The sequence below is a fragment of the Homo sapiens genome, chromosome 12 (assembly GCF_000001405.40).
Source record: "Homo sapiens chromosome 12, GRCh38.p14 Primary Assembly".
In the NCBI taxonomy this organism is placed as follows: Eukaryota; Metazoa; Chordata; class Mammalia; order Primates; family Hominidae; genus Homo; species Homo sapiens.
This window is the reverse complement of record NC_000012.12, coordinates 78,839,279-78,853,039: the sequence shown is the minus strand read 5'-3', so window position 1 is coordinate 78,853,039 and position 13,761 is coordinate 78,839,279. Positions and strand designations below refer to the sequence as shown.

The 13,761-nt window shown below is 34.0% G+C and overlaps 2 annotated features.

Annotated features, from left to right (window-relative positions):
- Positions 11,402 to 12,214: an enhancer, noted in NCBI's record as "OCT4-NANOG-H3K27ac hESC enhancer chr12:79234606-79235418 (GRCh37/hg19 assembly coordinates)". NCBI's record gives its function as "activates a minimal SCP1, AML or CMV promoter by ChIP-STARR-seq in naive and primed H9 embryonic stem cells {active_cell/tissue: H9 hESC(naive and primed)}" and the evidence as "EXISTENCE:reporter gene assay evidence [ECO:0000049][PMID:30033119]".
- Positions 12,215 to 13,028: an enhancer, noted in NCBI's record as "OCT4-NANOG-H3K27ac hESC enhancer chr12:79233792-79234605 (GRCh37/hg19 assembly coordinates)". NCBI's record gives its function as "activates a minimal SCP1, AML or CMV promoter by ChIP-STARR-seq in naive and primed H9 embryonic stem cells {active_cell/tissue: H9 hESC(naive and primed)}" and the evidence as "EXISTENCE:reporter gene assay evidence [ECO:0000049][PMID:30033119]".

The window sequence follows — 13,761 nt, the reverse complement described above, 5'->3', positions numbered from 1 at the left end:
TTTTACAGTAATTTTATTAACTTATTTCAATTTGTGGTTTCCCTTGGTTTGTCCTGCTTTGGGTTTACAGAGCTTCTTTAATATATGACTTAATATCTTTCCTCAGTTTTGAAAATTTTATAGTCACTTTATATATCTTTATATATTGTTTCATTTCTTTTACTTTCTCTTGCTCTGGGACTCCTATTATATGTATGCTAGACCTTTTTTACTGTGCTCTACCTCTGTATTGTAGTATTTCTGTATTTTCTATTCTTTTTCTCTCTGTATGCAGTCTTTATTTTCTCTATGGAATTATGTTTAATTTAATTGTTATGTACAATTTCTGTCTTCTACTCTATTTAATCTGTTGTTTAATCCATATAATACTTAATTTAATTATTGTATTTTTCAGTTCTAGAACATCCATTTCATTTTTTTTTTTTTTTAATGGAGTCTCACTCTGTCACCAGGCTGGAGTGCAATGGCATGATCTCGGCTCACTGCAACCTCTGCCTCTCAGGTTCAAGCAATTCTCCTGCCTCAGCCTCCTGAGTAGATGGGACTACAGGCACGTGCCACCACACCTGGCTAAATTTTGTATTTTTAGTAGAGACGGGGTTTCACCATGTTGGTCAGGCTGGTCTCAAACTCCTGACCTTGTGATCTGCCCACCTTGGCCTCCCAAAGTGCTAGGATTACTGGTGTGATCCACCAAGCCCAGCCTTATTTAATTCATTTTCATAGACTCTAATTCTATTTTATTACACCTTTCCTATATTTTCACGCTCTCCTTTTTAATCTCCTTTTTTGACTGTCAATCATGATTATTTTTTAAAAAATGCTTAACCATAATTACAATATTTTTATCACTTGTATCTTTGTGTTTCTTTTTTTTTTTAACCTTGGATTGTTGTCATTCATTTTTTTTTCTCTCAGCATACCTTAATATTATTTTTCTTTAGAATGCATCACATTTTTCATTAAAAATATAGAGCCTTAAAATATATTCATCCACAGAGAATTTATCTTTTCCTCTGGTAGGTGGATAGAACAGAGGCTGTTCACCTTAATGTATTAATGAGCTGAAATAAATAAAAGTTGAGTTTCAAATTTTGATAAACATTCCTGTCAACCTTAAGATGTAGTCTTTATTACATTGAACCGAGAATCTTTGGGTAATTGATTTAATAGTTGTGCTAATCAAGATAAGAAATAAAGGAAGCTAATGGTTCAGGTTTTGGGTATGTTCAGTTGGAGATGTCTTCAAAGGATTTGCATGTGACAATAGTAAATACATAATTGAAACTAAAGCAGAAATTTAAACCAGGAATATGTATTTTAGATTCAGGCAACTATGAGTGAGCATTGAAGTGATAAAAGTAGATCAAATATATAGTGATGGAAAATCAAGAGCTAAAAATGAAACCTTGGGAAGATTATAAAATTTAATAAGTAAATAAAAATATGAAGCTCTTAAGTGAAACTGGAGGAGGCAAATTTGGGCTACCAGATCGACACACCCCAGGTGTTCAGTCTAGAGAGAGATTCACACAAAAGAAAATAGTCCACACTGGCAGATAATATGTACTTAATAAATGTTTACCAAATCCATGAGTAAGGAGCCAAGAACTGCAAGTACTTTAGTAACTTTAGAACTGTAGATGAGTATACTGGGGTTCTCAAAATAAATTTGAAATTTTAGCCAGGACTTACATTATGAAGGACAAACTTTGAGCATCTACAAATAATAAAGAACAACTAAAAGAGAGAAATATAGTCAGATTTTCTTTTCAATGCAGAAAATAAAATGTGGAGTATGGATTTGAGAGGGAGATTACAGGATTAGACATGAATTGCCGCTTCAGTGGTCTTTTGTAAATAAAATTTTTGTGAAACCCAACAGCACCCACTTGCTTATGTGTTGTCTATGGCTGCTTTCAGGGTGTAACAGCAGAAGTAGGTAATTGATACAGAGGTTATATGACCTAAAAATCCTAAAATATTTACTCTCTGGTCTTTTACAAGAAAAGTTTGCTGGCCTTTAGCCTCAGCATGTATGTGAACGCGAATGAAGTCAGTGATAGTAAATGGATAAGATGGAACACACTGGGGAGATATTTAACAGATAAAATTAAGACTTCTTCAGGTCTGAGGGCAGAGGTGATAAAGGAGAAATATAGGAGGATAGCAGATTTCTGACTTAATTGAAAATTTTAAATTAGTTGTTAACTAAGGTCCAAATACAGAAAAATTACATTTTAAAAAGAATGTCAGTTCAGTGTGGGAGTTGTGAAGTTTAGGTTGCCTATGGAAAGGAGATATGATGGTGTTTGCATAGGCCAAAAATATTCAGCTCTGACAATCAGGTACAGGTTCAAGATAGCACTTTGAAGAGGTTGTTTATTTGTGATCAAATTCATGGAACACAATAAGAAAAAAGGGCTCTTGCCATTTGTACTATTGTTCTAGCACACAATTTTTAACAATAAGGTAGAATACTTGTATCTCACCATTTACCCTGTTTTCATAAGCTTCTTAGAGCATAATTTTATATAAAGAAAAAAAAGCTACCTTTACTTATAATAAACAAATTAATAAATTATAATGAAAAGTTTATTTGTAAGATGGTTGCTTACTAAATATGTATATATGTATATATACAGACACACACACATATATAGGGGTAGAGGTAGAGAGAGAGAGAGAGGGATTGTCATAATGCTCTTCTACAGGACTCACAAAGGCCTATACAATCCATTATACACCTAAAGCTTAATAATAATAATTCATATTAACTATTTTAACCATCATATGTAATACTACTTCTACAGGAGAAAAACATCAGTGCAATATGTCAGAATATTACAAAAATACTTTCAAAATTTGCATATTTTATGATTGGAATACTTTGTATGTTACAGAATATTTGTACCCATATCATCTTATTCTCATAGCCTTCTGATCTCATTTCCATTGGTCCCACTTTACAGAGGATGAAATTAACAGTCAGATTGTTTAAAGGTCACAATAAACATTACAGAGCAATTAATGGTATAGGAGTGTAACTTGCTTCTACTGATGCTATGTCTATTGCTTTACCTAGTTTACTTCTGTATCATCTACATTGATAGTGTCAGAGTAAACTGTTGATGCCAGGCAAAATCCAGAATGCAGTAGCCAGGAATAGTTTCAGGCTATGCCAGTAAAGCCTTAAAAAATATGAGGTATAACTAGGCAAAGGCAGCTATTTCAATTCATTGATCAGAAAAGCTGTTCCCAAGGGAAGAAAAATCTGCGGTGGTTTTAGCTTAAATAGTAAGAATTTAACATTCTGGTTTTGGGGTGATGAGAGGGCAAGCTGATTCTGGGCATATCTAACAGACCAGAGGATTTTGGAACTGATTAGAAAAAGGTTAATTAGGAGAAGGTCAATGAGAATGAAAATGGACTGAATTGAAAGAAAATTCAGAGCACAAGTTGCAAAGAGCTAGTAAAAATGGTGGTTCAAGTGAGTTTGAATTGGTCTAAAATTTGGGAAATTAACTTTGTTTTGCTGCCTATTCCTAAGACTATAGGTTAGGTATTTATTGGTCAAAGAATTACTTTCTTAAAAATTTAGGTGCGTACAATTGAGATTTCTATGATTTTATTTTAATAAAATGTATCTGCAAGATACAGGTTTCTTTTTTTCTTTTTTCTTTTTTTTTTTTCTTGAGATGGAGTTTTGCTCTTGTTGCCCAGGCTGGAGTGCAATGGCACAATCTAGGCTCACCACAACCTCCGCCTCCCGGGTTCAAGCAATTCTCATGCCTCAGCCTCCTGAGTAGTTGGGATTACGGGCATACACCACCACGCCCAGATAATTTTGTATTTTTAGTAGAGACGATACAGCTTTCTTAAGCATTTTATCAAAATTATGCCAAATGTCTTGGCATGTCTAATGTAAACATTCGTGATGAAACCATAAGAACTTCATATCATCTATTCAATGAGTATTGCTTACAATGGTTTTATTATTTTCAAAATGTCTACATTTCTCTGCTTACATATGGGTTTCTTAGCTGAACAATTTATGTGTTTATATTTTTACATAAATTGAACAGTTTTAAAACATAAAAAATTGAACTGGAAATTAAATATCATTAATACAATGAGGTGCATTTTAATCACAAATTTAATGTGTAAGATTTTAACTATTATATGGTACTTTAAAATATTTTGTAGCAATTTATGTATTTGCAAACTACACACTTAATAGCGCTAAAATTAAAATAAACAGTCTATATTGTTAATGTCTGTAGAAGTTGAAGAACATTTCATTTTTAAATATAAAATAATTTATGATTTAATTATAGCGTTTTTTTCCTTCAAATTTATCTGAAACAACTATTTCTTTATATACTTCCTCAAGTTTCGCCCTTATGTTTTCCAGGCAACCCATCATAAAATATAAACCTATTTTATATTCTTTCTGCATATTAAAAATTTTTTCTTCGGAATGCCTGAGAATACATTTTGTTGCTTCTTTGCTTTTTAAAAAATAGTTAGAGGTTTAAGTTATCTGTCCTTTATAATTGTAAGCTTAATATTTAGTAAGGAGCTAATACATGAAACTTATGGAGAGATTTATAGAAAGTGGTTCTGTGTCTGTGGGTCTGCAGCCAAGGGTCTGGTTATGGGTCTGAGGGCATTATTAGGAAGAAAAACTGGGTATAGAATGGAGAGATATGAGGAAAAGCTAGAAATTGCCAAGTTCTTCTTTATGTTACACATTTGTCAGTTTCTGTCAGATATCACATCTGAGTATGAGGACCTTCTGTGACCAATAGCTGCAACTTTACTTCTATCTTTCATATATTACACAAGTAACACTGAACCAACTCTCTATTTACATCATACATAGAAAGAAATTCTGGAAAATAGAATTCCCATCTAATTAAATTCACATAGGAATTTGTATGTATGTCTGTGTGTTTGTAAATAATGAATAAATCAACATGTCATTATTTGCAAATTACATTTTTCTATATGCAAAAAATTTTTAAAAAGGATAAATGGTCTTAAATTTAATAAACAAACAACCAATTTTTGGATAAATGATCAATATGCAAAAATAAATAACTTCTCTATATATTAGAAACAGATAATTATAAATAACATTTAAAATACCATTTAAAATAACATCAAAGAACATTAAATATTAAGCCTAACAAAATATGGTTATGACATCTATATTAAATATTATAAACGTTGCTGAGGAAAAATTAAGCAAATGGAAAAAATATCATATTTTTATATTAGAGGAATAAATATAAATTTCCCTTATGCTGATTTACAGCACAATTAAATACCAATTTTAATGTAAGTTGACAAGCTGATTAAAAATGTATATGGAGCTCTAAAGGTCTTATAGTAGCCATAAAACTTCTTGAAGAAATTTACCTGTATTGAAAAGCTTATACTACTGAGTATAAGGATTTATTATAGAGCTTCAATAATCATAACAGTGTTACTGGTAAAAGAATATGTGAATAGTCCAATGGAATTGAATGCGGAGTCCACAAATACTCCCACATAAGTGTACAGTCATCTGATTTATAACAAATGCACATCTACAATTCAGTGGGAAAAAGGATTTATGTTTAATATATAATACTAAACCAATTGGATGTATGTATCTAATTGGATAATTGGAATTGGAACATAGACCTAAACGTGAAAGTTAAACAGTAAATCTTCTGGTGTAACATATAGAAAAATATCTTCGCATGGTACAGATAGGCAAACATTTCTTAAATGGAAATAACTAAGTATTGATGGAAAATTGACATAATGAACTTTGTTAAATTAAGAACTTCAGATCATCAGAAAACATTATTAAAAGATTGAAAAGGCACATCACAAACTGAGATAAATCATTTATACTGCACATTTCTAATAAAATACTGAAATCTAGAGCATTTAAAGAGTTCTTAACTGTGCAGAACACATAAAATAATAACTATTAAAGGAAAATATTGACAAATCAGTCTACCAATATTAAAAATCTCTTCAAAAGATACTTAAGAAATTAAATAGGCAAGCCACATTGGTACCCAAGAGATATGAACAAATCCTAAAACCCAATAATAAAAATATAGTTAAGCAATTTAAAAAATGAGGAACAGATTTCAACAGACATGTCACAAAAGAATATGTTTAGTACATTTAAAAGTGCTCAAATCATTTATGTTTTGGAAATTGCAAATTAAAACAATGTAAAATATCCCTACAAAGCCTCCCAATAAGGAAAAGTGCAAGAGTAGATCACTTTACTGGTTAATTCTACCAAAATTTTGGGGAAAAATTAACTTCAATTCTTCTTGAACTCTTCCAGAAATTAAAAGAGGAGGGAATGCCTTCTAATTCATTCCATGTGCCCAGGCTGATAAAAAGCCAAAACTACCACAAGAACACAGACCAATATCCCTTACTTCTATAGATGAAAAAAATCCTGAACAATATGCTACCAAAGTGAATCTAGCAAAATATTAAAAAGATTATACACCATGACCAAGTGAGAAATAGACCACCAACAAGTGGGATTTGTACCAGGAATGTAAGAATGGCTCAACATAGACAAATCTGTATAATATACTACACTAATGAACAAAGGTTAAAAAAGAAAAGAAAAACAACAACAAAAAGTCAGCTTATATGATTATCTCAATTGGTGAAGGAAAAGCGTTTCACAAAATCTAACACCATTTTATAGTAACAGTCAACACACTAGGAATAAAAAGGAAATACCCCAACAAGATAAAAGGCATTTATGAGAAACTCACATCTAACATGATTCTCAATGCAGAAAGAATAAAACTTTTCTCATTAAGATCAGGAAAAAGAGAAAAATTTCATTTTGTACTTTTATTCAATATTGTACTGTAAGTTATAGTCCAAGTATTTAGGCAAGAAAAGGAAATATGAGACATCTAAATTGGAAAAGAAAAGGTAAAACTATCTCTATTGTTAAATGACATGATCTTAAACATGTAAAATTCTAAAGAATCCATAAGATGCAACTGTTAGAGAAATAAATTCAGAAAAATTTTCAGGATACAACATTAAAACGAAATGTCAGTTTTATTTCTGTATACTATCAATGAACAATCCTCCAAAATGTAGAAAACACTTTTATTCATAATAGCATCAAAAGAATAAAATATTTAGGAATAAATGTAACAAATGAGGTATAACACTTGTACACTGAAAATTTCTTAAAATTGTTGAGAGGAATTTAAAAATACTTAAATAAATGGCAAGACATTCCACGTTCATGAATCGGCAGACTTAATGTTACTTAAATAGCAACACTTCTCAAAGCAATTTATTGAAGCAGTGAAATCTCTATCAAAAGCCAATCGTCTTTTATGTAGAAATGGAAAGCTGATCCTAAAATTTATGTAAGATTGCAAGGAACACTGAAGAGTCAAACAATATTTTTTAAAACACTGGAAAATTCACACTTCCTGATCTCAAAAGTAACTACAAAACTACAGTAATCAATGCCAATGTGGTACTGGCATAAGGGTGGACATATGAAATAGACTTAAAAGTACAGAAATAAACCAAATATCTATGACCAATTAATTTTTGACAAGGATGACGAGACTTTGCAAAAGGGAAAGGGCAATCTTTTCAATAATGGTGCTGGGACAATTGGATTGCAATGTGCAAAACAATGCGTTGTACTTTTTTATCTCACATCATATGTAAAAAGTAACTAAAAATGGATCAAAGACCCAAAGATAAGAGCTAAAACTATAAAACTCTTAGAAGAAAACTGTGGTAAATCTGTATAACCATGGATTTCATAATCGTTTCTTAGATATGATACCAAAAACACAAGCGACAAAAGAAAATAGATACATTAGACTTCATCAAAATTAAAAATGTTTATCTATCAAAGGACACAATCAAGAGTCTTAAAAGATAAACCACATATTGGTAGAAAATAATTGCAAATCATAAATTTGGTCAGGTTCTGGTGTCCAGAATACAGACCTATCTCACAGATATTGTGGATTTGGTTTCCAACCACTGCAATAAAGCAAATAGTTCAATAAACAGAGTCACATGAATTTTTGGTTTCCCAGTGCATATAAAAGTTATGTTCACACTATTCAGTGGTCTATTAATATGCAAAAACATTATGTCTAAAAAAGTACATGCCTTAATGTAAAGATAATTTTTTGTTAAAATACGCTAACAATAATCTGAACCTTCAGCAAGTTGTAATCTTTTTGCTTTTGGTGGTGGGTCTTGCTTTGGCATTGATGGCTGGCTACTGGCTAATCAGGGTGGTGGTTGCTGAAGATTGGGGTGACTGGTAATTTCTTAAAATAAGACAACAGTGAAGCTTGCCAGATTGATTAACTTTTCTTTTCAAGAAAAATTTCTCTGTACTATGCAATAGTGTTTAATAGCATTTTACCCACAATAGAACTTCTTTCAAAATTAGAATTAATCCTTTCAAAACTTGCCACTGCCCTATCAACTCTGTTTATGTAACATTCTAAATCCTTGATTGTTATTTCAATAATGATCACAGCATCTTCAAGCAGAGCACATTCCACCTCAAGAAACCACTTTCTGTGCTACCCATAAGAAGCAACTCCTCATCTGTTAAAGTTTTATCATGAGATTGCAGGAATTTAATCAAATATTAGACTTCATTCCCAATGCTAGTTCTCTTGCTATCTTCACCACATCTGCAGTGGCTTCCTCCACAGAAGTCTTGAACCCCTCAATCATCCATGAATGTTGGAATCAATTTCTTCTAAATTCCTGTTAATCTTGATATTTTGACTACCTCCCATGAATCACTATTGCTCTTAATGGCATCTAGAATGGTGAATCCTTTCCAGAAAGTTTTTAATTTACTTTGCTCAGTTCCATCAGAAGAACCGCAATATATCCCAGCAATAGCCTTACAAGATGTATGCTTTAAATAATAAGACTTGAAAGTCAAAATTACTCCTTAATCCATGGGCTGCAGAATGGGTGTTATGTTCGCTGGCATGAAAACAATATTAATTTCCTTGTACATCTCCATTAGAGCTCTTGAGGGACCAGGTACATTGTCAATGAGCAATAATATTTTGAGAGGATTATTTTATTCCAAGCAGTAGGTCTCAACAGTTGGCTTAAAATATTCAATAAACCATGCTGTAAACAGATGTGCTGTCATCTAGGCTTTATTTTTCCATTTATAAAGCATCATTCTAAAAGGCCCTATGATTTTTGGAATGGTAAATGCTCATTGGCTTCAGCTAAAAGTCACCAGCTGTGTTAGTCTCTAACGAGAGAGTCAGCCTGCCTTTTGAAACTTTGAAACCAGATATAGACTTCTCTCTAGTTATGAAAGTCTTAGATTACATCTTCTTCCAATATAAGGCTGTTTCCTTTATAAGAGAGGTGTGTTGTTTAGTGTGGCCACCTCTAGTGTGGCAACCAAATACGTTAGCCAAGTCTTCTGGAAAATTTGCTGTGGCTTCTCCATCAACACTTGTTGCTTCACCTTGTACTTTAATGTTATGGAGACAACTTCTTTTATTAAACCTCATGAACCAACCCCTGCTAGCTTCAGACTTTTTTTCTTTAGCCTCCACAGCTCTCTCAGCTTTCATAGAATTTAAGAGTTAGGACCTTACTCTGTATTAGGCTTTGGCTTAAAGGAATGTTGTGGGTGGTTTGATCTTATAGTCAGACCACTAAAACTCTCTCCATATTAGTAATAAAATAGTTTCACTTTCTTATAATTTATGTGTTTACTGGAGTAGCATATTTAATTTTCTTCAGGAACCTTTCCTTTGCGTTCACAGCATAAGAGGCCTAGCTTTTGACCTAGCTTGGCTTCCAACATGCCTTTCATACTAAGTTAAGTCATTTCTGGCTTTTGATTTAAAATGAAAGATGCATGACTCTTCTTTTCACTTCAACACTTAGAGGCCAGTGTAGGATTATTAATTACTTCATGTAATTATAATATTGCTCTGTCTCGGGAACAAGGGGGCTTAAGAAGAGGGAAACAGGGGAACAGTCAGGTGGTGGGGCAGTCAGAACACACACAATATTTATCAATGAAGTTTGCTGAGGTTTGTGGTACCTCAAAACAGTTACAAGGCCGGGCGCAGTGGCTCACACCTGTAATCGCAGCACTTTGGGAGGCCAAGGCAGGTGGAATACAAGATCAGGAGTTCAAGAACAACCTGGTTAAGATGGCGAAAGCCCATCTCTACAAAAAAATACAAAAAAAATTAGCCAGGCGCGGTGGCAGGCGCCTGAAATCCCAGCTACTCAGGAGGCTGAGGCAGGAGAATTGCTTGAATCCTGGGCAGCAGAGGTTGCAGTGAGCCGAGATCGCGCCACTGCACTTCAGCCCGGGTGACAGACTGAGACTCTGTCTCAAAAAAAAAAAAAAACCCGACTACAATAGTAACATCAAATATTGCTGATCACAGATGACCATAACGAGGTATAATAACAATGAAAGCATTTGAAATATTGTGTGAATTATCAAAATGTGACATAGAGACAAAAAGTGAGCACACGTTGTTGGAAAAAAATGGTTCTGGTAGACTTGCTTGACTTAGAGTTGCCACAAACCTTCCATTTGTAAAAAAAGAAAAAGAAAAAGAAAGAAAAAAAGCAATATCGGCAAAGTGCAATAAACTGAGGTATTCCTATATATAAAGAACATTTGCAAATCACCACTAAAATAAAAACAACCCAATTAATACATTGGCAAATGTCGGTAGACATTTTTTCAAAGAACATAAACAAATGTCCAACCAGTACATGAAAAATGCTCAATATCATTAGTCATTAGGGAGAATTAAAACCAAAATGATACGCCATTTCAGAGACACTAGGGCGGCTATAATCATTTAACAAATGAAAATAAGTGTTGACAAGAATGTGGAGAAATATTAACTTTCATATATATCTCTGGTGGGAATGTCAAATGGTGCAGCTGCTATGGAAAACAGTTCTTCAATAATTAAAACATAGAAGTAAAACATGCAAGTACTACATGACCCAGCATTTCCACTTGTAGATACATACTCCAAAGAATAGAGCACAAGTGTTCAAACCAAAAATTTTATATTTTATATTCATAGCAGCACTATTCCCGATAGTCAAAATGTGGAAACAACTCAAATGTCCATCAATCGACGAACAGACGAAATGTGGTATAAACAAACAATGGAATATGGTTTTTATGAAAAATAATGAAGTACCCGGTGCATGCTTATAAAATACATAGAATTCAGCCCTGTCCTCAGAATGCTACAGGTTACAGCCCATTTGAGCTCCTGTATGGACACTCCTTTTTATTAGGCCCCAGTCTCATTCCAGACACCAGACCAACTTACACTGTGCCCCAAAAAACTTGTCGTCCCTACTATCTTCTGTCTAGTCATACTCCTATTCACCGTTCTCAACTACTCATACATGCCCTGCTCTTGTTTACACTGCCGGTTTACACTGTTTTTCCAAGCCATCACAGCTGATATCTCCTGGTGCTATCCCCAAACTGCCACTCTTAACTCTTGAAGTAAATAAATAATCTTTGCTGGCAGGACTATGCTAAATCTCCTTAGGCACTCCCTAATCAGACATCCTGAGTCATCCCAATTCTTAGACCTTTTATACCTGTTTTTCTCCTTCTGTTATTCCACTTAGTTTCTCAATTCATCCAAAACCGTATCCAGGCCATCACCAATCATTCTATACGACAAATGTTTCTTCTAACATCCCCACAATATCACCCCTTACCACAAGACCTCCCTTCAGCTTAATCTCTCCCACTCTAGGTTCCCACGCCGCCCCTAATCCCGCTTGAAGCAGCGCTGAGAAACATCGCCCATTCTCTCTCCATACCACCCCCAAAAATTTTCGCCGCCCCAACACTTCAACACTATTTTGTTTTATTTTTCTTATTAATATAAGAAGGCAGGAATGTCAGGCCTCTGAGCCCAAGCCAAACCAAGCCATCGCATCCCCTGTGACTTGTACGTATACGCCCAGATGGCCTGAAATAACTGAAGAATCACAAAAGAAATGAATATGCCCTGCCCCACCTTAACTGATGACATTCCACCACAAAAGAAGTGTAAATGGCTGGTCCTTGCCTTAAGTGATGACATTACCTTGTGAAAGTCCTTTTCCTAGCTCATCCTGGCTCAAAAATCACCCCCACTGAGCACCTTGCAACCCCCCACTCCTGCCTGCCAGAGAACAAACCCCCTTTGACTGTAATTTTCCTTTACCTTCCCAAATCCTATAAAACGGCCCCACCCTTATCTCCCTTCGCTGACTCTCTTTTCAGACTCAGCCGGCCTGCACCCAGGTGAAATAAACAGCCATGTTGCTCACACACAAAAAAAAAAGAAAAAAAAAATACATGAACCTTGAAACAATTACGCTAAGTAAACAATGCCAGACACAAAAGGGTACATATTATATCATTCCACTTGGATAAAATACCCAGAAGAGTTAAATCCATAGAGACACAAAGCATATTAATAACTGTCAAGGGTTGTGGGGGAAAGAGACAACCCATTAAGGAGAGTGGCTGCTTGTGGGTATGAGTTTCTTTTAGAGGTGATAAAGATCTTCTGGAACCAGATCATGGGGATGATTGGACAACATCATTACGACATTAAATGCCACTGGATTGTATACCTTAAAATGGAAAGATGGTAAATTTCTTATTTTATATGTATTGTATAATAATAAAAAACTTAAAAAGACAAATTATTCCATGTGCTCAGAAGGAGATAGTGGGAAAAGAGAATAACATTGTATGTTTTTGTGTTAAGAATATCGCTTTTGATGGTCATGATCCCATGAGTTAGAAGGAATCAAGAGAGTTGTTAAGAGACCCTTGAAATAGAACTTCATTTCATTGTTGATGAGGTGCTGTATTGAACTTTTTTCTTTAAGAAAGTCCCAGCTACTCCGGAGGCTGAGGCAGAATGGCGTGAACCCGGGAGGCGGAGCTTGCAGTGAGCCGAGATAGCGCCACTGCACTCCAGCTTGGGCGATAGAGCGAGACTCCGTCTCCAAAAAAATTAAAAAAATAAAAAAATAAAAAGAAAGCTGTTTACAGTGTAGCACTTGTATGGGAAATTTGCTGAAACAATTTTACACTGAATTTGTCTTCTCTGACCCCATGGTTAATGTGTGATACTTTTTCAGGACATACCAATACAGATAGCCCTTCCTAACAAGGTATCAGCATATTGCCTCAGTCTCTACAAAGTTAGACAAACTATGTGTGAAAAGGAATTACTAGTTCTATTTTTCTTTTCTTTTTTTTTTACATTATAACCCTCTTCGTTTAATTTCTTCTTACCAGTGTTACTTTTCCACCCCTTAATCATCTTTGATTCCTTTAATTTTTTTATGTGCTTTCAAAATTGTATTGTCCAGCACCTGTGGAAGATCTGTAAAGTTAAGCAGCTCTTATATCCAAATTAGAGTTTAAATCATTTACTTCTGAGACATTTAAAAGTTATTTTTAACGTAAACAATTGCAAACCCTCTGGATTTACAAGTTTTTGATTTACAGGATTATACAGATAAGGTATATTTTATGTTTGATATGATTCAAAGAAAGATGGAGAAACACACACATGCCAATCTTCCTGTGTAACCAGAAGTTCATTCTTAAAGTATGCCAACAGTGTACTATTCTATAGTCTGAAAATGCTTATTAATGCTTGGACTGAA